Source organism: Homo sapiens, chromosome 3 (assembly GCF_000001405.40).
Source record: "Homo sapiens chromosome 3, GRCh38.p14 Primary Assembly".
Lineage (NCBI taxonomy): Eukaryota > Metazoa > Chordata > Mammalia > Primates > Hominidae > Homo > Homo sapiens.
The window spans coordinates 127,806,721-127,830,911 of record NC_000003.12 but is presented as its reverse complement, the minus strand read 5'-3'; the positions used below and the strand labels follow the sequence as shown (position 1 = coordinate 127,830,911).

Here is a 24,191-nt window from a genome sequence, read left to right as displayed (position 1 = left end):
GTTTAATTGGCTCATGATTCTGCAGGCTATACAGGAAGCATAGTGGCTTCTGCTTCTGGGAGGCCTCAGGAAACTTTCAATCATGGCAAAATGTGAAAGGAAAGCAGGCACGTCCTACACAGCCAGAGTAGGAACAAGAGAGAGAGGGAAAGGTGCTACACACTTTTAAACAACCAGATCTCACGAGAACTCACTCACTATTACCAAGACAATACCAAGGGGGATGGCACTAAACCATTCATGAGAAATCCATTCCCATGATGCATTCACCTCCCACCAGGCCCCACCTTCAACATTGGGGATTACAGTTCAAAATGAGGTTTGGTGGGGACACAGATCCAAACCATATCAACTTGTAGGGGCAGAAAGACGTCACCTTTACTTGAATTGCAACCCTTACCTTTTCATCGCAGGCTGTAGGAGCAGAGCCTGACAACCAGCACTTGTCTTGGAGATCACTGCATCTAGAATAATCCTGCCCTAGAGATCTAGGTGGACACACAGGCAAGTAGGGGCCTGGTGGCCCACTGATTTCCCTACTGAAATAAAAAGCCAGATACAAGACTTCTACATCTGCAAAGGTGGAGTGGATGTGCTTTTCCCTACTTTTCCCACTAAATATGACTAAAAACCCTGGACATTATGTATACAACCAACGTAAGAGGATGCTGAAAGGAAGAGATAAAAGGCAAACCTGCTGGGGACCTCAGGACCTGAGGAACAACATGGTGGTGAGTTCCCTGGGTTTTTTGTTTTGCCTTATACATTTGTGACTCTAGAGAAACACAGGTAAAACAAAAGGTTTAAATCAGATCCAGAGTCTGATGACATAATACAAAAATGACCAAGTTTCAATAGAAAATCATTTATCTTATCAAGAACCAGAAAGATCTAACACTGGATTAGAGAAGACAATATATACCAACAGGAAAACAAACAGATTTTTAAAGCAGTCACAATAAAAGTTCTCCAACAGGCAATTATAAACATGCCTGAAACAAATGAAAAATAAAAAGTCTTGGCAAAGGGATAGAAATTCTTAGCAAAGAAATAGAAGATATAAAGAAGAACCAAATGGAAATTTTAGAGTTGAAAAATACAATAACTGAAATAAAAAGCTCAATGGATGAGCTCAAAGGTGAAATAGAGGGAACAGTGCAATAAGCTGGAACATAGGACAATAGAAATGACTCATCTGAATAACAGAGAGAAAATAGGCTTAAAAAAAAAACCCACAAAAAAAAAACCAAAATGAACAGAGCCTTCAGGGACCTACGGAACTATAAGAAAAGCTCAAATATTCATGTCATCAGAGTCCAAAAGGAGAAGAGAAAAGAGGATGAGGCTGAAAAAGTACTCAAATAAGTAATGGCTGAAAATGTCTCAAATTTGGCAGGAGACAAAAAAAAACTATAAATAAAAAAGCTGAATGAATTCCAAATAAAATATACCCAAAGAAACCCATACCAAGAAACATCATAGTCAAACTTCTGAAAACTAAAGACAAAGAAAAAAATCTTGACAGCAGGGAAAGATAAATTACATGTTACCTATAGGTAATTTCCTTATAAGGAAAAAAAATTTGAATGACAATGGATATCTTATCAGATAGCATTAAGGCCAGAATGTAATGGTATGATATTTTTCAAATGCTGAAAGAAAATAATTTTTAATCCAGAATTCTTTATGTAGTGAAAATATCCTTCAGGAATGAAGGGGAATCAAGACATTCTCAGATAAAGCAAAACTAAGAAAATGTTGCCAGCAGACCCATCCTCAAAGAATGGCTAAAGGAATATATCTAAACCAAAAAGAAATGATAAAAGAAGAAACCTTGTACTATCATGAAGAAAGAACACAGTGAACAAAACTATGGGCAAATAAAATAGACTTTTATTCTCCTCTTTTCTAAATTATATTTGATGATTGAAGCAAAAATTTTAATACTATCTGATGTGAATCTCAGAGTATGTAGAGAAAATAGTTAAGGCAATTAGAGTATAAATGGTGCAGAGTAAAGGGACATAAGAAGATGTTAGGTTTTTATATTGCATAAGAACTAGTAAAGTGGCATCAGTAAGCTGTGATACATAAAATGCAGTACATAGAGCAACCACTAAAAAGTCTATACAAAGAGATTCACTCAAACACAGTATAAATAAATAAAACTGGAATTTAAAAATGTTCCTGGCCAGGCCTGGTGGCTCATGCCTATAATTATCCAGCACTTTGGTAGGCCAAGGCAGGCAGGCTCAGAGCCTAGGAGTTTGAGACTAGCCAGGGCAACATAGTGAAACCCTATCTTTGCCAAGAAAAAAAAAATTAGCTGGGCACAGTGGTACACATCTGTAGTACCAGCTACTCAGGAGGCTGAGGTGGAAGGATGACTTAATCTAGAAAGTTGAGGCTGCAGTGAGCTGTGATTGCATCACAGCACTCCAGTATGTGCAACAGAGTGAGACCCTGTCTCAAAAACAAAATAAAACAGGCTGGGCCTGGTGGCTCATGCCTGTAATCCCAGCACTTTGAGAGGCCAAGGCAGGTGGATCACCTGAGGTCAGGAGTTCGAGACCACCCTGATCAATATAGTGAAACTCCATCTCTACTAAAAATACAAAAATTAGCCAGACTTGGGAGGCTGAGAGAGGAGAATTGCTTGAATCTGGGAGACGGAGGTTGCAGTTAGCCAAGATGGCACCATTGCACTCCAGCCTGGGCAACAGAGCGAGACTCCATCTCAAAACCAAACCAAACCAAACAAAACAAGAAAAAGTTCCTGTGCAAGTAACCTAGAAGAAGAAAAGAAAAAGAAAAAATAAATGAGAGAACCGAAATAAAAATAAAATGGCAGACTTAAACCATAACAATATGATAATTACATTAAATGTAAATGGTCTAAATATACCAACTAAAAAACAGACATTGGCAGAATGGATTTTTTAAAATGATATAAGTATATGTTGTCTACAAGAAACTCCCTTCAAATATAATGATGGTCTATGTAGAAAACCCCAAGTAAGCTACAAACAAAGCCAAACACCAAAAACCCAAACCCTCCTGGATTACAGAAGACAATAGATGCCAAAAAAAAGAACCCTATATCTGTATTTAATAAGTGAGTTCAACAAGATTACAGGATACAAGATCAACATACAAAAATCAATTTTACCTCTATATGCTACAAATTAACATGTGGAAACTGAAATTAAATATACCTAACATTTATAATTACTTATTTTAAAAAAGGTATAAATTTGACCAAATGTGTATAGAACTTGTATGCTGAAAACTATACAACATTTATGAAGGAATCAAAGAACAACTAAATAAATGGACATATATACCCATGTTCATGGATTGGAAGACTTAATAGTAAAAATGTCAGTTCTCGAAGAATATACATGTTTAATGCAATTCCTATCATAATCCCAGCAAAATTTTTAATGAATATAAACAAGGTTATTTTAAAATTTATATTGAAAGGTGAAGGAACTAGAATCGTTCAAAGAATCTTGTAGACTGAGTGTGGTAGCTCACATTTGTAATCCCAGTGCATTGGGAGGTCACAGTGGGAGGGTGGCTTAAGGCCGGGAGTTCAAGACCAGCCTGGGCAACATGGAGAGATTCCTTCTCTACCAAAAAAAAAAAAAAAAAAAAAAAAAAAAAAAAGTCTTGTAAATGAAGAATAAAGTGAGAGGAACCAGCCTATTCAATTTCAAGATTTATAGAGAACTTCAATAATCAAGACTGTGTGGTATTGGTGGAGGAATAGACACAGACCAAAGAAACAAAAGAGAGAACCCAGAAATAGACCTGTACAAGCAGGCAGCTGAATTTTACAAAAGTGCAAAAGCAATTCAGTGGAGGAAAGGCAGCCTTTTCAACAAACTGTGCTGGAGCAATGGGACATGTAGAGACAAATGAACCTTGATCTAAATCTCACACTCCAGACAAAAAGTAACTCAAAATAGCTTACAGACTTAAGCATAAAATGTAAATCTATACAACTTTTAGAGAAAAACACAGGAGAAAATCTCTTGAGGTAGGACTACACAGAGTTCTTAGACTTGACACCAAATGCATAATCCATAAAACAAAAAATTGATAAATTGTTTCTGATCAAAATGAAAACTTTTGCTCTGCAAAAGACCTTGTTAAAAGGATTAAAAGACAAGCTACAGACTGGAAGAAAATATTTGCAATCACACATCTAGTATCTAGTAGACTAATGTCTAGAATATACCAAGAACTCTCAAAACTCAACAGTAAGAAAACAACAAGCAAACAATTAAAAAATAGCCAAAGGCTGCAATGAACGGAGATCGTACCAACGCACTCCAGACTGGGTGACAGAACGAGACCCTGTCTCAAAAAAAAGAAAAAAGAAAAGAAAAGAAAGAAAGAAAATAGCCTAAAGGATGGGCGTGGTGGCTCATGCCTGTAATTCCAGCACTTTGGGAGGCTGAGGCCGGTCAGATCGCCTGAGCTCAGGAATTTGAGACCACCCTGGGCAACATGATGAAACCCCGTCTCTACTAAAATACAAAAAGTTAGCCAGGTGTGGTGGCCTGCACCTGTAGTCCCAGCTACTAGGGAGGCTGAGGCATGAGAATTGTTTGAGCCTGGGAGGTGGAGGTTGCAATGAAACAAGATGGCGCCACTGCACTTCAGCTTGGGCTACAGAGTGAGGCTCAGTCTCAAAAAAAAAAAAAAAAAAAGGGGGGTGGGGGGCAAGAAAATAGCCGAAAGACAAGAAAAGACATTTTACTGAATGGGATATATAGATGGCAAATACGCACATGAAACAACATTAGCCATTAGGCAAAAGCAAATTAAAAACCACAGTGAAATATCATCACTACACACTTAACAGAAAGACTAAAATTTTTAAAATGGTGACAACACTACATGCTGACATGAATGCTGAGAGACTGGTTCTCTCCTACACTGCTGGTAGGAATGTAAAATGCTACAGTCACTCTGGAAAACATTTTGGCATTCTCTTTAAAAACTTGCAATTTCCCTACAGCTCAGCAATTGCACTCCTGGGCCCTCATCTCAGAGAATGAAGACTTAGGTTCACACAAAAACATGTACACGGAGGTTTACAGCAGCTTTATTCTTAATCAACAAACACTGGAAACAACGCAGATATCCTTCAGCAGATGACCTGTTAGACACACTGTGGTACTTCCATACTGTGGACTGCTACACCCAACCCACCTGGAATTATGCTGAATGAAAAGGTGAATCCTAGAGGTTATGTACTTTATGATTCTATTCATAAAATATCCTTGAAATGACAAAATTTTAGAAATGGAGAACAAATTAGCAGTTGCCAGGGGTTCTAGGGGAGTGAGGATGAGAGGGAAGTGGATGTGGCTATAAAAGCATACCACTTTGTGGGGTAGAGACGTTCTGTAGCTTGACTACAGATATTCTATCAGTGTCAGTATCCTGTTGTGATATTTACTGTGGTTTGTGAGAAGTTGCCATTGCAGGAAACTGAGTAAAGGGCACATAGCATCTCTCTTTATTATTTGTTACAACTGCATGCGAATCTACAATTATCTCAGAATAAGTTTAATTAAAAGAAAAAGCCAGATACAGAACAATACGATCTGTCTCTTAACTCCCAAATTCCCAGTTGGCTGGCCACACACCACAGTCTCAGTTCTGTCCATAACCAAGTTTGGGGGATCTCTTCAAGTTTGCAAATGTCACTTCTACTGAGATCCCTCTGACAACTTCAGTGAAGTCTCTCCTCAAAGCTTTTTTTTTTTTTTTTTTTTTTTGAGACAGAGCCTTGCTCTGTCGCTCAGGCTGGAGTGCAATCACTGCAACCTCTGTCTCCCGGGTTCAAGCGATTCTCCTGCCTCAGCCTCCCGAGTAGCTGGGATTACAGGTGCCCGCTACCATGCCCAGCTAATTTTTGTATTTTTAGTAGAGATGGGGTTTCACCATGTTGGTCAGGCTGGTCTCCAGCTCCTGACCTCAGATGATCCACCTGCCTGGCCTCCCAAAGGACTGGGATTACAGGCGTGAGCCACTGAGCCCGGCCTCTCCTCCAAATTTTCAAGCTGTGTATTTTAAATCATAAAATGTTAGAGCCAGGAACATTTGAAATAATGCCTTGATAAAAGCGTCCATCAGACCCCCGAGCACCCTTCCTTTCCATGAATTATAACCAACGGAAATCCGGTGCACTTAGCATGTCCAGCTTTGAGTGAAGCCCCCAAGCTTCCTGCCCCTGAGACTGCCGCCCCTAAACCTCTCTTGCATGGATTCTGTAGAGCTGCCCCGACCAGAAGTCACTTAGCCACTCCTCTGCTCCAGGCCTCGTGGCCTGCTGGAGGCCAGACAGTGGGTAAGTCACGCTCAGCAGTGCCTACAACTCAAGCCACTGCTCAAAGGCTGTTGTTTTATTTCTCAAGTTAGACCACAGGCTCTGTAGCAACTTGGGCCTCCTTGGACACACACAGTGTGACGCTGAGACACAGTCCTCAACGCTGCTATGGTGTAGAATTTTTTGCGGAGAAAGACAGGAAGGCCTCTTGAGGTCAGTGTGAGACAGGGACACTCCACTGGGGCATAGGTATATCACTCACAGGTTGAAGGTAGGTAGACTGAGGCTCAAAGAGCAAGCGGAGGAGCTAATGTTCAACCCAGGTGGTGTGGAGTCTCAGTCCAGTGGCCTTACCCTCCACGGCCACGTTGCTAGTTATACTGGACAGAGCTCAGACTGTGCCCTGGCCTGTGTAGATGCACCAGAGGTTTTATCTGGGGGTCACAGCCGCTGGGAACGGGAGAGTTGCTGGGGATTGCCAGGAAGGGACAAGGCATTTGTAGCCATGCACCATCTGCTTTTACACTACCCTAGAGTCAAGTGGACCCCCTCCAGCATTTTTTTTTCCCCGAGATGGAGTCTCACTCTGTCACCCAGGCTGAAGTGCAATGGTGTGGTATCGGCTCACTGCAACCTCTGCCTCCCGGGTTCAAGCGATTCTCCTGAGTAGCTGGGACTACAGGCGCATGCCACCACGACCGGTTAATTGCCCCTCCAGCATTGTATGTGTCTGACTGCAATGAAGTGTGAGTGTGTCTGTGTGCGACTGTGTGTGTATGATGTGAGTGTGTCTGTGTCTATGTGGGGGCCAGGTGTATAGTCTGCATATGTCTGTGCACCTCTGTGTCTCTGTGGGTTGTCTGTGCCTATGTCTCGGCTTGTGTGTGTGCATGCATGTGTGGTCTGTGTGTGTCTGTATGCATGTGGTATCTCTGGGATGTGTGTCTGTATGTCCCTGCGTGCAGTGTAGTGACTTTGGGAGTGCACATGTGTACACGTGTGGTGAGTGTGCGGCCCTGCGCGAGTTGTCTGTGTACGTGTGGTGCCTGTGGGTCTGTGTGCGCGCGTGTGCCCGTGGGTGTGGTGTGTCCTCCCGCGCTGAGGCTCCCATGAACCCAGCTCAGTTCAGGCCTCCCTGACAGTCCTCGGGCGGCCACCCCGGGGCGCGGCTGTCCACGAGGCGCGGAGGAGAGGAGTGCGTGGCTGGGTCGGCGGGCGGCGCCCCCGCTCCTCCCCGCGGGCCGGGCACACGTGGGCCCCGGGCGCCGCCTCCCCGCGCCGCCCGCCGCCCGCCGGGTCCCGCGCGTCCCCACCCACCTCGGGCCGCCCCCGCCGCCGAGCCGGCCCAGGGATAAAGTGGCGGCGCAGACGCCGCACCCTGTCGCCGCGAAGCCGGTCGCGCGCAGCTCGTCCCGGCCCTGGCCCGCCGCAAACGAGGATCCGCTGCGCTCGGGGAACGCGACAGCGGCGCTCGTGGCCCCGGTAACTGCCTCCCGGCCCCTGCCCCAGCCCGCCAGTGCCGCCGTCAGGGGTGGGGAGCAGCACTGGGGTCCCGGACACGCCCGGCGTGGGCTCCCGCTACCCATGTGTGCGTGTGTGTGTGTGCACGGTGTGTGTGCGCGCGTGTCCGAGTGTGCGCGCGTGTGCGCGCGCGCGCGCCCTCCCTGCTCCTTCGCACCAGCCCCCAAACCAACTTGTCCCCATCAACTCCATCTTTCTAGTCCCCACCTTCCCCGGTGCAGACACCCGGCGAAGCCCACCCGGTTTTCCCAGCGGCATTTCCGATGACAGCTTCGGGGCTACGTGTCCTGTGCTGTCGGAGACGCACAGGAAGCAAAGTTTGTGAGAAGCCTTGGGGGCGACTTTGCCTTGGGCACCCGCATTTGTGCGTCTGCGAGGTGCCTCGGTGTGCGCGGAGCTAGTTTCCCAGTTTCCCGGGCCCCTCCCTTCTCCGAGCCCCTCTAGCGATTTGTTTAGGAAAAGTGATGACATGAACTAGTAGTGGAGAATCGCAGCGCCGCTCCCCGCCCTGGGGAGGGAGGGGAGCCCCGGAGAGCCTGCCGGTGGGAGCTGGAAGCAGGCTCCCGGCTGAGCGCCCCAGCCCGAAAGGCAGGGTCTGGGTGCGGGAAGAGGGCTCGGAGCTGCCTTCCTGCTGCCTTGGGGCCGCCCAGATGAGGGAACAGCCCGATTTGCCTGGTTCTGATTCTCCAGGCTGTCGTGGTTGTGGAATGCAAACGCCAGCACATAATGGAAACAGGTTTGTCATGTATCCTTGGAATTTCAGATGGGAGGAATAATCTGAGTATCATCCACCTCATTATTGTGCCCACTTGAAACTGTTCCTTGGAGATTTTAAGATAGATGGGTCTTCTTGCAGCTGGGTCTTTGTACCCATAGAGCTGACTATAATTTCCACTTGATTACAGCTAAAATAGTCTTTAAGATGAAGTTTCCTGAAATGATTTAAAATAAACACAGATGGGAAGGGGGAAAAACTGTAATGAGGCACTTAAAAAATAAAGTGAGCATTTTCTTAAGAACAAATGGGATTTTTCAGTCTTGGAGAGGTTTGCAAGAAATGTATGTATGTTTTAAACCTTTGAAACAGAGGGGTTTTTTAAACTGCTTTTAAAAAAATGTTACTGACTCTGAACTAGACTTTTCTCTCCTATCCATACATGTTCTTGAGATATTTCTGACTTTGGAATATGTCACTTTTCCTTCTAGGACCTGAAGACCCTTCCAGCATGCCAGAGGAAAGTTCCCCCAGGCGGACCCCGCAGAGCATTCCCTACCAGGACCTCCCTCACCTGGTCAATGCAGACGGACAGTACCTCTTCTGCAGGTACTGGAAACCCACAGGCACACCCAAGTAAGTCTTCCCCAGAAAGTCACCCCAGGTGACAGGGGAGCATGGCCCCTGCTTCTCCTCTGGTCGTTATCATGTGCCATCTGGGGCGGGGCCGCTTTCTCTATGACCTACTTCCCCTGCCGTTTTAATGTTAGGCTGAGCAATGTTAACAAAGCTAAAATGTATACTTTATAATTTTTAAATTTAAGAAGCAGGAATTCTTTTTTCATTATAACAACTCAGATATGGATCCTACCGTATGGCAATTTTCAAAAATTCCACATGACTTTATTTTTTGTACTGGAGTTGATTTCCGGTTGTACAGGCATTCATTTAAAATCAAACCCGACAATTAAGGAAAATCCCCTAGATGGATGAGAAACCCGAAGTAATACATATATCTTCACCTTTGCTCACTTTTCCTGCTTGTTTCTGAGCTTCTGAAGATGGCATACATGTGTCACCAGGAAGAAAGGGGCCTGGGTATTTCCTTCTGATTCCTTGCCAGCTCAATTACTTTGTACATTTTCCATCAAGGATTTGTCTTGCTATTAGAAGCAAACATTGGGACTATACACAAGACAGCTGGTCTCCTGCTGCTGCTCCCTCCTCTTGGATGAAGCAGGAAAACCCTGCTTGTTTGTGTTATTTGGAAAAAGAATTTATTTGTGGTAACCAATTGGCCTGGTGACAAGAACATTTCCTGTTCCAGGGACATTTTACCTGTTTTGTAGGCCTCTTGTCTCCTAGGGATCATTGTGTGGTTGGATTATGTCTCTCTTTGTGCTCCAGTAATCACCCAACCCTCACACAGGTGTAAAATTTCTTCTCTGTCTTCATCAAGGTATCTATGATCCAGGGAGCTGCACGTTAAAAACACAGAGATATGGACTTTTAAAACCCGGCATAGAGTCATAGCTTCAGGGCAGCTACACAGACTGGCTATGGTTTCTCTCTAGTGTTTTCAAGTGGGTAACGTGCTGAGAAGAGTTCCTACCAGTTCTGGTAATACATTTCTTAAAGAATGTGTCTGTACGTGCATACGCATTAGAGGAAGTGGGGGGGTTGTTGAGCATTATGATGCTAATTAATCATTAATTCTCCACTCTGACTTAACTGGCTGTAGAATTGCTCAATCTTGGATTAATTTCTAACAGATTAGTGGTTTGTGGTAATTTGATCAATATACAGAAAGAAGACAAATAATTGAAAATAGAAGTTTTTAATGTCTGAGTCTCAGACTTGGGGGGCTTTGTTGGTTAAGTAGTGAGGTTGTCCTAGTTCGAAGTCAACAAAAATAAAGAGGTTCTGCAGTCCTGGCACAGGGGGAGGGTGGTGGGTGAGTGGGTTAGAAACGGTCAAGTTGGCTGCCCTGCCCTCCCTTCGCCTGCGGGTGGTTTTCACAATCTCTGTGCTGAAGTTGCATTGCAGGGAGCCCTCTCTGCTCCGTTGCTTTTGCTCTAGTTAGAGATGATAACTCAACTTCTTAATTTAAACTGAGCTGCCTCTTGGATGTCAGCGTCCGCCTTGTGGTGGGTGCTGATGGGCTTAAGAACAGAGGTGGATGGTTGAGGCAGTTCGGCCCCAGAATTTGGAAGAAACCTATGGGTCTAGAAAAGGTTAAGGGAAAAAAATATTGAGGGCAGGAGCACTGAAATAGAAAGAGCAACAGAACCATGAGCATGTATGAACACTTTCCATAGTGTTATCCTCAGTTTACCAAAGAGGAAGGGGCTGGCCAAGGTCCTACCTACCTGTCCTGCCCTGCCTCCAGCCCCTGGAGATGATGCAGAGGTCCTGGAGGCCCCTTGCCATGACTCATGTTAACCCTGTGCTTGCTGGATCTTGGGGCAGTCTTGGGGGTCCTAGGGTGGGGGCTCAGGGCAGAGGTTTGTGCCAGCCAGCATGAAACACCTCTGTATCTTCATAACCGAGACCAGCTGCTCAGCCTGCCTGCCCTCTTGCATGATCTGGGAGACCCCCGCAGCATCATTATAATAAGTATTATTATTATTGCCTGCACAGAATCATTCACTCTGCTTTTAGGAAGAGGGAGGGGACCTCAAGTCACCAGGGCTTCAATCTTTCCCCCCAGGCTTTTTACCCCTCTTCAGCAAAACTAGGGCCTCGCTTTGTGCAATCCTGTCTCCTCCCAGTTAGGAAGAAAGAAGGGAGGAAAAGCAAGGGGCAAAAAAAGAGGAGACTGAACCCTCCCCCACTACTGTACCAACTGTGGGCAAAACCTGGGTTAAGAGCACCTCATCTCCAGCCCCGCCTCTGCTATCTTTCTCATAGAGACCCTAGGGACCTCAGAAGCCACCCCGGGGGCCTGTGGATATCTTATTATGCAGAAGGATCTGTGCCAGCCTCGGTTAGTCAGTACTGGTTTGGGTAGATTTTCTGGCCAACCAGTTACCTCCAGCTCCTGGAGCCTGCCGTGAGCACCTACAGAGACATATTGCCCCCAGAGGACCTGCTGGGTTCCAAGACTGGCTCTGCAGGTGGCTCGGAGCAACACTAAGCCACAGGTGTCAGCCGCTGCACTGGGAACCTGGCTTAACCCGCTTTATGCAAGCAAATTCTGTCGTATAAACACCAGCCTCCTCGGACTGGACCCTGAGAAAGAGAAAGCATGTCTTGGGTTAGCCTTTACCATCAGTGCTGTTTTTAACGTAGCAGGCCAGAGTCTCCGTATTTCATCATCAGGAATCAGAACTTAAACCTCCATTTGGCAGTACCAAGGCAAATTCATGCTGTAGTGTTTACGGTAATAACAAATCTTATACTTAAGGCATGGCACAATTATCTCATATTAATTGAGTGCCAGGTATGTTCTAGGGTCTGGACTAGATTCTGTGCACACATGACCTCATTTTACCTTCACATCAATCTGTGAGACAAGTATTATTATTCTTACTATTCCCATTTTACAGATGAGGAAACAGAGGTCCAATGTTACAAAGTATCTTTCTCCAAATGACCCTGCTGGCAGTAGTGGGATTTGGTCCGCAATCTTCTGACATGGACCAAATCCAATTGTTCTCCTTACACCACCAAGCAGGACAGATTTCTTCTTTATAGGTAGTGTTTTCCTGATAAATTCTTACATTTTGGGTTAGGGTAAACATCATTTCCTAGGGTAAAGAGGAAGAGAATAATTAATTCTCCCTAATCGTTTGCTCATAATATATCAAAGGTGGGAAATCAGCTGGGTTCCGTGGTACACATCTGTAGCCCCAGAAACTCAGAAGACAGAGGCGGGAAATTCCTTGAGACCAGGAGTTTGAGACCAGCCTGGGCAACGTGTTGAAATTCTGTCTCTTAAAAAAAAAAAAAGATTAGAGATAGGTATCCCTTCTGAAAACAACAACAACAATAACAAAAAACAGAATTTATGCCCTTGCCTGACTGGCTGCCTTATCCAATTCAACATGCTGGAACTTAAAAATATTGGCCGGGTGCAGTGGCTCACGCCTATAATCCCAACACATCGGGAGGCTGAGGCGGGTGGATCACTTGAGGCCAGGAGTTCGAGACCAGCCTGGCCAAAAGTGGTGAAACTCCCTCTCTACTAAAAATACAAAAAATTACCGGGGTGTGGTGGCAGACGCCTGTAGCCCCCGCTACTCGGGAGGCTGAGGCAGGAGAATCGCTTGAACCCAGGATGCAGAGGTTGCAGTGAGCGGAGATCGCACCACTGCACTCCAGCCTGGGTGACAGAGCAAGACTCCATCTCAAAAAAAGAAAAAGGGGGGGATACTGGATCATGAGCAAATGTCCACTGATGCTATCAGCACGGCGATGGAGACTGGCCCATGGATGGGGGCAAGCCGCTTTGTGGGCTCTTGAGCTAGGAAGTCACAGTTTCTCTTGTGCCCCTTTGAGAAATATTTAGCACCTTTGTATTCAGCCAACCAAGTGGCTCTCAGTCCATAGAAAGACGTCTAGAAGTTAACTGTGAGAATTCCTTACCCATGAGCTCAGGTGAGGGAAGGGTGCGGTCTGAAAACATTGTGCAATATGATGACTTAGACTCCAAAAATATCCTCATTTGACACTGGATGACCAGGAAGGCTGGAGAGCAGGCTGTAATTATATGATTGTACAACTCTGACCCCTGCCAGGCAGTGAGTTCAAGGCATGGAGCAGACCATATTTGCTGTTCATCTGCAAGGCCCGGCATGAAGGAGGTGCTGAGTAGAGGGTTACCGAGTGGACACATCTCACTCTCATCTTTCCTCAGTGCTAGTCCATCCACCGGCTCATGCCACTTGGCCTTCCTGGCAGCCCCTCAACTCTGGAGAGCTGGCCCACTTTCTTTTCTGTAGCTTCTGTTATGATGATAAAAACTGGTGTATTGAAGGAACTGGCTTAAAGTGTGATTGTCCCTCCCTCGCTGATGTCCCAAGACACACGACTGGGAGGCCAGCCCTCCCCACTTCCTCCAGAGCCCTGCCCTCACACCTCCAGTAAGTGCCTCCTCCTTTAAATCTCTGTTTAGCATTTTGTTCCAAATTCCCCTGCATTTATGGAGACCTTCTGGAACATAAGCCCTTTCTCTGAACCTTACTGGCCTTGCCTTCTAGTCCTTTCTTGCCTCAGACCTCGGTCACGTGGCTTTTCTCTCCAGGAACTTTGTAGTCACCCCTCACCATGGCTCCCTCCTCTCCCACCTGGCCAGCTCCACCGGTCTGAGCTGCCTCGGGGCCAGGGTGCAGCCTGCATGGTTTTCAGGATTTTCCCGTCGGTGACATGGAGCTAGGTGCTGCAAGGGGAACACAGGCCGTGGATGGACTAGCAAGGGAGATTTGGCATTGTTTCTGGAACCTGCCCAAGTCCTCAGAACTGTGGCCGCTTTCAGTGGATCTAGAACCAATAAGACAGGGCTCCTCCCTCCTGCAGTTCCTTCCCTTGCTCCCGGGAGTGGGGCTCAGTGATGGTCCCCATCACAGCCCTCCCGTTCTAGGCCCATGTTGACCCCTTTCTCCATGAAGCCTTCACTCTCTGTGTGTGTCTACAGCAATGGGCAGTGCCATCCTCGGGCACTTCCCCCATCTATGCCAGTTTACCTGGAGGAGAGGCCATGCCCTGAGGCCTGGGTAGATTTAAGTGATAGAGAACATCCCCCCTTCTTGCGTCCTCGTAATATCCTCCTCACATCAGCCCCCAGCCAGACACGGGTGTGGCACCTGTGGCTCTGGGAAATAAGGGCCCCTCCCAGCCATCTGGATCCATCCGGAGGTGAACAATTTTCACCATTTGCTTGCACATAATTCCATCCCCACGGCCTTCCTGAGACTTTGTCCTCAAAGGTGGGACTGGCTTTTCCTTCCCCGCCCTTAGGTTTTCTAATCAGGTTGTCAGCCGGCTGTTGAGTGCTTTCTTTCCCCCACCCCCTGCTTTGGGTGTTTGTTCAGTGTTCCAGGAAACCTTCTGCAGGTCCTGTTTTCATCTTTGAGTGTAGAAGGGAGTGTGAATTTCCATCTCCCCAGGCCGCAGCTGCTGAACCCTGTAGCCCTTCTGAACTCACGCCACCTGCGACTAGGTGTTCCCGCATCACCAGCCAGCTGGTTTAGCGCAGATGCTCCCTGGGGTCAGCTAAATCACACAGCTTATTGTCCCTTCAAGTGGCCATTTTGAACCCCACTCTGTCAGTCTCTGCAGGGGTGAGGACGGCCTGGCTCCTGCTCAGCGCCCCTCGCATGCAGCTCTGTGGCTACCCCATACGGCTCCTTGCTCTCCTCTCCCAGGATCCAAAGCAGCGATTCATTCAGCAAATACTTCCTTATTGACGTCTACATGGTCCTTGGGCGCCAGGGTGGGGAAAGGGTGGCAAAGATCATGCATCTGATGAAGGGGTGGGATGGACCAACACACGGATAATTATAATATGATGCAGCCAGGACCTAGAGGCAGGGCTGCTGCTATGCCACGCAGAGCCTTTGTGCAAATTAGACAGAGGTGCCCACTGGGCAGAGGCTGCCCCATGAGTTGGTGAGCAGAGTGTGGGCTGGGTCGCAGCTCCTACTTGCCCTTCTGTCCTGTGTCCTGGATGGTGTTCCACCCTCGGAAAGGGCACGTGGGGGAGAGGACCCAAACACAAAAGCATGAGCCAAAGGGTGGGTGTAGGGGCCCCAGCTTTGTATCCAAATAACCAGCTAGATGGAGAGGTTCATAGTAATATAGGCGCAAGGCAAAGAAGGCCGCGTCATGGCAAAGACGTAGCACCGCGTGTTAGCAGGAGATGGAGAGATGAACATGGACTGTACCTGAGGATGCATGGGCAGCAGAGGGAGAAGGAGGGTGACTCCCAGGTGTCTCTGGAGTGATGGCAGAAGGAGCTGGTGTTATTGAGGGTGTGGGAATGTGGGATTCTCCTTCACAGCACACACCTTTAATGTATTCTTTGCTCGGAACACGGTGGGGCTGCTGTGTGGCAAGGAGGATGCATGGGATCATCGCAAGCTGCGGGTCATTTGTTGACACAGCCATGGGATAAGCCAGGAGGGGAGTGAGGAGAAGGAGCAGTGGCCAACGAACTGATTACATTTCAGACGTCACCAGTTACAATATCAATCAATATGAATCACGAGTGACTCTGCTGAAGGTAAGGAAGGAATCAGCTTACACCCTCTCCCCACAAGGAGGAAAAAAAAGTGAAGCACCTTTGACATATGTCTGTTGTTCCATAAAATTTACTCTTAAACTCTGAGAAAATGGGCCCTACCATGCATCTTCTAGCAATGACATTATTTTTAGTCAGATTATTGCATTTTAGTAGCACCTTTTAAGTAGTCCATTTTAAGAATTTCCAGAAGTTTGTTTTTCTTGTATGAAGCTGTTATTTCTCCTTCTGATGCTTCTGCCTTTGTGATAGCGTAGCAAATTGTTTTATTTTTAAACAGGGCATTTCTTCTGGGCTTTTTAAAAATACTCTTCAAATAGCAAAGATCTTTTGATGGCAAGAGGCAAGGCCAGCTGCTATTCTTGCAGTTGAGTTTTCCAACAGCTTCTTTAAGGGATAATTTCTTCCAGTTGCTGTAAGAATGTTCTGCTGATACAAATCTGGCTTTGTTTTGCAGTAGAGTCGAAGAAAAAAAATAGCAGAATAAGCTGCTCCCTGAATAGCAACCTTTGTCCACCATTGTCTATTTATTGGCACCTTTTAGGTTTAGATCTTAATCCCAGATGCACTTTGTCCATGAATGCAAACCAAACTATTGGTCATTGTATACACGGAGGAAATGGTCTTTACTGGTGCAAATTTTTACAGCTGAGATGACAAGATGACCCTTGTCCCATATTGCAGGGTCATCCAAGATTCTTGTTGGTAGGAGTTTCTTTTCATTTCACACAGCCTTGTTCATTAGGGGATGGGGGTGGGGATGCTGCGGTGGTCAGCGAGTGAAACGGGGTGACATTGTTCTCTGTGTGTTTGAGGGCTATAAGAAGAGCTGTGTGTTGTGTGTTCCTACACTTGCAGCTGCCCCAAGTTGACCTTTGTGTCCATCTGCTAACATGCCTCTCTCCCGGGCTAATGCTGACCATTTATTCCCATGCTTGATGTTCCGCAAAGTCTCTTGTATATGGTGATGAGAAGGTATGCCTCACCTTCCAGGGAGTCACAGCTCTAGCAACATTCTGAAGAGAGGAAGGGAGAGTGGGAGGGAGGCAGGGAGGAAAGGAAGGAAGGAAAGAAGGAAGGAAGGAAGGAGGGAGAGAAGAAAGGAAGAAGAGAAGAGGGGAAGGGGAAAAATAAGGAGGAGGAAGGATAGAGGAGAGAATGAAGAGGAGGAAAACAACAGACTGAGCAGTAAGGTATCTTTAGAGATCAGCAGCTGTCCCTGACCTTGGGGACTTGCAGGAGGTTCATGGATAGTTTTTGGGGGTTAGAGTGTGGGGCTTTTGACATCAAAGGGGTATGTACACTTTTCTAGGAAAGGAAGATGGATCATAGGCTCCACCAGACTCTCAAAATGGGGGTCAATGACCCGGGAGTCCTGTGTCACCCTCATCATTTCATAGATGGAAAGACTGAGGCCCAGGGGATGAAAGGAGTTTCTCAGGCTGCCACAGGACTGGCTCAGGGCTGCAGGGCAGCCTCCTGATCACACGTTGCTTCTGCTTCAGGCTTTTCATCCAGAAGTTTCCCTTATGCCTTCTTCTGATCAATTTAAACTACAAGTTAGCCCTCCCCAGCAAATGTCCGGTTTGGAGCAGGGCTTGGAGAGGTACCAGACCCCTGTCTCCCATGGGAAGCCATTTGGCCAGCCTCCATTTTGCTGGGTCTGTTGACAGTGGTTAGAAGTATGTGGGCACCTAAGTGATGCCCGCCGAGGCTGCTAATAAGTGCAGATGGACCTCAGAAGAGATGGCCAGAGACCTACTTAGAGCAGCCAGGAGATAGGTGGGAGGAGGGGAGAAACTGTGGGAGGAACAGGAGCCCAGGAGGCCTCTGGGAGAACAAGAGTCGGAAGAAAGTGGCAGACTCTTATGAGGGGGCCCCAAACAAAAAGGAGGGAAGCAGGGGAAAAAAGAATGAAAAGGGAAAGAGATGGAAGGGCACAAAAAAACTGCACAGGCGGCCACATACAGCCTCTGGTTAATGTCTCCTTGTCAAGGCATGTCAATTTTCCCAGGTCATTGACAGTCTACTGGATTAGAGATTAAAAACCTTTAGTTAGGAAATTGCTGTCTTTAGACGTTTTAGAAGTTCCCCTCTGTTTATCCTCTTCCGTCAATCTTGAAGAGACGTGTTTCAGGGAAACATAGCCTCTCTGAACAGCAAAAGCCAATGGTGCATGCAGAAGAGCAGAGGTCCTGGGACAGGACTGCCAGGACCACACCCCGATCAACACCAGCCAGGTATGGGCCTCCAGAGACGCTACTGACCCATCACTGCAGCAGTTTTCTCATCTTTAAAATGAGGACTAATAGCACCTTTCCCACATGGCTGGTGCAGGTAAGAGAGAAATGTGGGCTCCCTGAGGGGTCAACGTGAACTCTCTTGATTCCTTTGTCCGCTTCATCTCCCTGCACCATCGTTCTGGGGACTCTGCGGACCTGTGCCAGGCTTGTTGATTGCCCACCGTTACCCCTTACTTCCCTCCACCCTCATGGCAAGCGCCAGTCACAGAGGACCCAGTATGAAAGCAATCATGCTTTTGACAGATTCCAGCCTGACTGCTGCCCTCACCACACCAGGCCACAGGCTTTCCCCAGGCCTCAGGTTACTCACCTTTTTTTTCTTAACTTTTTTGTTTCTTCAAATGAAACTCAGTTCCATGTCAAGGAGATTTCAGGCTCCCTGATAAACTTCTGCAGTTGCTGGGTGCTTCTTTTAAAAGTAAACAAAACAAGAAAGCCACAAGGAAGCCAGCCTTTGGTGTGAACTTCTTTTTGAGATAACACATAATAAGGGTAGCTCAACACTTTTCTTTTATGTGGAATGCAGTACAGGATTTGTGGCATAACTCTTGACTGGAAGGAGAACCAAACAACCCTTAGCTATTATAGCTGGAAGTCAACTTAAATAAGCCTTCCTTAGAGCATCCAGTCAATTTTCAGTGGTCCATGTCTTAAGGTATTCCAGTCTTTGGCATATGTTTTTCCTTTCGTCCTGATTACGTTATCATGGTTGGTAGAAATGTTTCTGCTGCAGAGAGTGAGACTGTTACTACAAGGGCCATGTGCTAGATCCAGAGTGGGCAGGATAGTCTGGGGTATGTTAGGAATCTATTGCTGTTACTCAGCCCATGATTCTGTGGGTTCGCAATTAGTGCTGGGCTCAGCTGGATGGGTCTTCTGTTGCTCCCAGCTGGGCTCCTGCATGTATCAATGGTCAGTTGTGGATCAGCAGGCACTGGCAGGCCAGCTAGAGGCTTGCCAGTCTTGGATGGCTTTACCACATCTGGTGTTGGCAGGCTGTTGGTGGGATCACCTCAGTTCTTGTCCATGTGGTTTATCATGCTTTCTCAGACTGGCCTGGATCTGTTATTAAGGTGGCAGTTTTTCAAGAGCAATGAGAACAGATGCCAGTATGCAAGTGCTTTTGAAGTCTCTCCTGTATCATGTTTGTGAATGTCCCACTGGCCAAAGCACATCAGGAGGCCAGCCCAGAGGCAGTATGTGAAGGCATGTCCAAGGAGCAAGGATGGAGGAGAGAATATTTTGTGGTCATTTTTGAAATCTGTTGCATGGGGGAAAATATATTTGTATTAATAGTTGGGACGAGGGTTGAAGTCTTATTACTACCTCTGCCTCTGAGTAACTTTAGACAAGGTACCAGCTCTAGACTCTCCAGCAAGTTCCCAGAAGTTTTTTCTTTTGCTATAACTCTGGGATAGTTTGCATCTTGCAAGAGTAGAACAACCTATGAGCTTCTCCAGGGCAGAATTCATGTTTAGCTTTTTTCTATCTTCTCCAACACATGCCTCTTGTAGAGTTTCATACCTGGCACAAAATAAGGGATCAAAACACGTTTGTTGCATGGATGATTCAAGTTCCTCATATTTACAGTGGGATGACTGAGAGAGGATGATTCCTGAAGTCTCTACTGCCACAGTTTTGCAGGAAAAGAATATAAGCATTTCTGTTGAGTATGGCTTCAAGGCATTAACCTTTTGTGCAGGAAAGGAGCACCTAAATCCAGAAGTATCACCGAAGGAGTTAGTGACACCTAGAAGAAGAATATTCCCTGCAGGTTACCCCTTGAGATACTGGATGGCTGTACTTTCACCAGTTTGGTTAGCTTTGCTGTAAAACTCTGTGTGAAATGCATCTACGAGTGGGAGTTACAGTATGGCAGGTGTTTTCCATTTTAGCACAGAAGTTGCTGTGGATGTCAGAATCTGGAGGGTTTGCTTCCTTTTTTGATTGGGTGGGGGAATGGTTCAACAGGTATTAATTGAGCTCCAGATGTAAACTCAGTACTGTGCTGGACAGCAAAGGAGGGTCCACAAACAGCATGGAGACGTGGCCCCTTTCACTTCTGACCTCTCCATGGCACTAGCTCTTGCTGAACACCTCGTGTATGCCAGGTCTCATTCCAGTTTGGAGATAAAGAAATGAAGTTGCCCTGCTCCTGCCTTTGAAGGCATCTCCATGCATTTGTCAGGGAGGCAGTGCCATACACCATGGATGTTGTCTTGTGAAGGCTGTGGATTCTGTGTTGGGATTTCAGAGGGACGTTTGGTGACTTTCAGCTGGATCTTGAAGGTAGAAAGGGACATTCTGGGCCGAAGGGAATCACACTCTCACAGGCATGGAAGTGAGAGAGGATACAGTGTGCTCTGAAAATAACAAGGATTATTTGGAAACTGGAGTCCGAAGTGCATGGCAGAATGTAAGTTTGGAATGGCTGGCTCAGGAGCCTGCATTGGAATGGCTGTTGTCTACTCTGCTGGGACCACTATAACAAAATACCACAGACTGGGGGTCTTCAACAACAGAAATTAATTTTCTTGCAGTTTTGGAGCCTAGAAGTCCAAGATCAAGGCGTCAACAGGGTTGATTTCTCCTGAAGCCTCTCTCTTTGGCTCACAGATACCAACCTTCTTTCTGTGTCCTCGTGTGGCCTTTCCTTTGTGCACTCAGTTCAGTTGGCAATGACCATTTTGACTTGCTAAGGAATTTGGGCTTCATTGTATAGGCTGTGCTGGGAACCATGATAGAGTCAGGGGCCATGTGGGTTGGTAATTGTTTACAGTCTAGTCCATTCAGAGCAACAGAGAAATTCCTGCAAAGGTTTTATGTGGCTAAATGTCTAGAATTGGACAAGGATCTCACCCTTTCACATCCGTACTTCTCTGTGGTTCCGTGGTGGATGCCCCAGCCTGCATGAAGTTGCTGTTGGTTTATCCTTTGCCTTGATGTCTTTTGTCCAAGACCATCTAGTCTCAGCAAGCCCCACAGGCCACCTGGCTCAAGGGCAGAGCCAGCACATCATGGGAGCATGCCAGGAATGAACTCTGTCATTGCAGAGTAAGGGTACTGTGCAGAGAACTGTGGCCATCCTCACTTCTTTCTTGCTGATTTTTGTCCTCAGGGATATCACTCATTAGTCTTTTTTTTTTTTATTGTTGTTTTAAGAGACAGGGCTTTGCTCTGTCACCCAGGCTAGAGTGTGTTGGCTCAATCATAGCTCACTGCAGTCTCCAACTCCTGGGCTCAGGTGATCCTCCCACCTCAGCCTCCTGAGTACCTGGGACTACAGGCACTTGCCACCATACCCAGACAATTTTTAAATTTTTTGCAGACACAGGATCTCACTATGTTGCCCAGGCATGTCACAAATTCCCAGGCTCAAATGATCCTATCTCCTCAGCCTCCAAAAGTGCTGGTATTCCAGGTGTGAGCCACCACACCTGGCCTCATGATTGGTCTTAATCAGACATGGCTCTCCCATTCTCCTCTCCCAGTGGCATTGCAGCTAGAGCTGGCTATAGGACTTGGTGATGGCTAATGAGACACAGAAGACGTTTCTGGAGGATATTAGCTCCATGATAAAAGGTAAGAGAGAGCAAGATGAGAAGATTGATCTCTCTCTCTGCCCCAATTCCCCTCACTCCCTACATTCTGCCTTTGTGGGCATAGTGCTTGCAGCTACAGTAGCCATCTTGTAGTCATGAGATGGCAAGGCTAACATGCTAACAGAGAGTGATGAAGAAAGCTGGGAAAATCTGGGTCCTTGATGGAACAGCTGAGCCAACCTTGGATCTGCCTATAAATATACCTTGATAATACAAAAATCCACACCGATGTGTCTCAACCACCAGGTATGTTCTGATTCTTTCAGCCAGATGGATCCAAATGATGGAAGATCCAAATGGTGGTGAGTGTTTGGGCTGCTGATGCTTGAACTGAGTCTAAAAATGGCCCAAGACAGATATGGAGGAGCATGAATGAGAAGGAGGAAAGGAATCCTAGGCACATGTCCAGACTAAGTAGAGGCACTGGAGGCAGGAATGAGCAGGAGAAGAGAGGCTGATGTTGGAGAATAGTGGGAGATGAGCTTGGAGCCTGAGTAGGCATTGGTTGGTTGCCTCCCCAGTATCCATTTCCTTCTTCCACCCACAGTGCCTTAAATTTAAGAGGCATCTCTCCTCTACTTTCAGCCCATGTGTTTCTGTTGGTGTTGACTCCACCCTGGTGAGAGGTTGATCTTGCAACAAGTTTAGCCTATCATCATTTTACATTCTCCCCAGCTACAGTGATTGGTTCAGGGATGGGCAAGTACCCAGTGCAAGTCAGTGATCAATAAGACTTCCCCTGGGACTTTTGGGAAGGAAACTGTCACTTTTCTCCTCTGAAGTTGACTCTAGAAGTGTGAACCCTGGGCACTCTGGCAACCATTTTAAGACTGCAAGGGGGAAGTCTGACCAAGAATGGAATCTACCTTAAGAAAGCAAAGCTAAGAAGTGTTGAAAGAGAAACCAGTTCCTGGTCATGTTGCCAGACCCCTTGAATCAAACCTAACAGTACTGAGCCTAACAATCACATAAACCAATAAGCATGGGAATCACTTTCTGTCACAACTGAAAGAATCATCATAGATCTGGAAATGGTCACATTGGGGGCTATGGTCATGTTGGAGGTTGTAGACAAAATTTTTGATAAGAAAGCTAGACTCTGGAGCAGAGAAAAAAAGAGTTTTCGTCCAGGCATGGTGGCTCACGCCTGTAATCTCAGCACTTTGGGAGGCCGAGGCGGGTGGATCACGAGGTCAGGAGATCGAGACCATCCTGACTAACATGGTGAAATCGCATCCCTACTAAAATACAAAAAATTAGCTGGGTATGGTGGTGGGCACCTGTAGTCCCAGCTACTCAGGAGGCTGAGGCAGGAGAATGGCGTGAACCCAGGAGGCGGAGCTTGCAGTGAGCCGAGATTACGCCACTGCACTCCAGCCTGGGCAACAGAGCGAGACTCCATCTCAAAAAAAAAAAAAAAAAAAAAAAAAAAAAGACTTTTCACAGCATGTCTAAATTAGCCAGAGTAGGGGTCAGAAAACATCATAAAATGAAGTTCTGAGTTCCTGCCCCTGTTCTTGTATGACTATGTCTTTAGTGGCCAAGAGACCTCCCTTCTCTCTTCTCATCACTGACAGAGTTACCAACCAGAGATTCACTTAATAAAATTATCTTTTAAAATGCAAATATCTTTTCACCTTAATACACTGAAAAAAGAAGAGCAAGTTAAGCCTAAAGCAAGCAGAAGGAAGAAAATCATAAAGATCAGAGCAGAAATTAGTGAAATAAAGAATAGGAAAACAATAGAGGAAATAAATCCAAAAGTTGGTTATTTGAAAATACCAATAAAATTGATAAATCTTCAGCTAGATTCATCAAGAAAAAAAGAGAGAAGACTTGAATTACTACAATCAGGAATGGAAGAGGTGATGTTACTACCAAATTTTCTAAAATAAAAAGGGTTATAAAGAAATACTATAAACAATTGTGTGCTAATAAATTTGATAACATAAATGAAATGAACAAATTTTAAGAAAGACCCAAACTTAGACTTAAAACAAGTAAAGACATTGAATTGGTAAGCAAAACAAAACCAAAACTAAAAAAACTACCAACAAAGAAAAACCCAGGCCCAGATGGTTTTGCTGTTGAAATCTACCAAACATGTAAAAAGAATTAATACCAATTCTCACAAACCTTTCCAAAAAATAGAGGAAAACACTTCCCAACTTATTCTAAGTGGTCATTATTACCCAGATAATAAAAGTAAACAAAGACATCACAAGAAAAGAAAACTAAAGGTCAGTATTTCTTATGAATAGAGATGCAAAAATACTTAACAAATACTAGCAAACTGAATCTGGCTAATTTTTGTATTTTTAGTAGAGATGGGATTTCATCATGTTAGCCAGGCTGGTCTCGAACTCCTGAGCTCAGGTGATCCACCCGCCTCGGCCTCCCAAAGTGCTGGGATTACAGGTGTGAGCCACCGCGCCTGGCCCTATCTACCTATTTATCCAGCCAT

General features: G+C 46.0%; 1 protein-coding gene across 10 annotated transcripts in view, besides 2 other annotated features; it reads left to right on the top strand.

The window, feature by feature from the left end:
• Positions 7,436–7,955: a silencer, noted in NCBI's record as "silent region_14697". NCBI's record gives its function as "represses an Ori minimal core promoter by ATAC-STARR-seq in GM12878 lymphoblastoid cells {active_cell/tissue: GM12878}" and the evidence as "EXISTENCE:reporter gene assay evidence [ECO:0000049][PMID:35858748]".
• Positions 7,727–24,191, top strand: part of MGLL (monoglyceride lipase) — a 134,120-nt gene continuing 117,655 nt past the window's right edge. For 6 of the 10 annotated variants that reach the window (NM_001388316.1, NM_001003794.3, NM_001388313.1 and 3 more), the window contains exons 1-2: positions 7,727–7,828; positions 9,074–9,218. In NM_001388316.1, coding sequence (NP_001375245.1) covers positions 9,094–9,218 — 125 coding nt within the window. In that variant the 5' untranslated portion in view covers positions 7,727–7,828; positions 9,074–9,093. Of the gene's footprint in view, positions 7,829–8,396; positions 8,604–9,073; positions 9,219–24,191 lie in introns of those variants that run through there. The other 4 variants (NM_001256585.2, NM_007283.7, NM_001388312.1 and 1 more) reach the window with 1 other exon arrangement.
• Positions 12,366–13,565: an enhancer, noted in NCBI's record as "MED14-independent group 3 enhancer chr3:127536190-127537389 (GRCh37/hg19 assembly coordinates)". NCBI's record gives its function as "activates an origin of replication core promoter dependent on BRD2, BRD4, P300/CBP and CDK7 cofactors, and independent of MED14, by STARR-seq in HCT116 cells {active_cell/tissue: HCT116}" and the evidence as "EXISTENCE:reporter gene assay evidence [ECO:0000049][PMID:35650434]".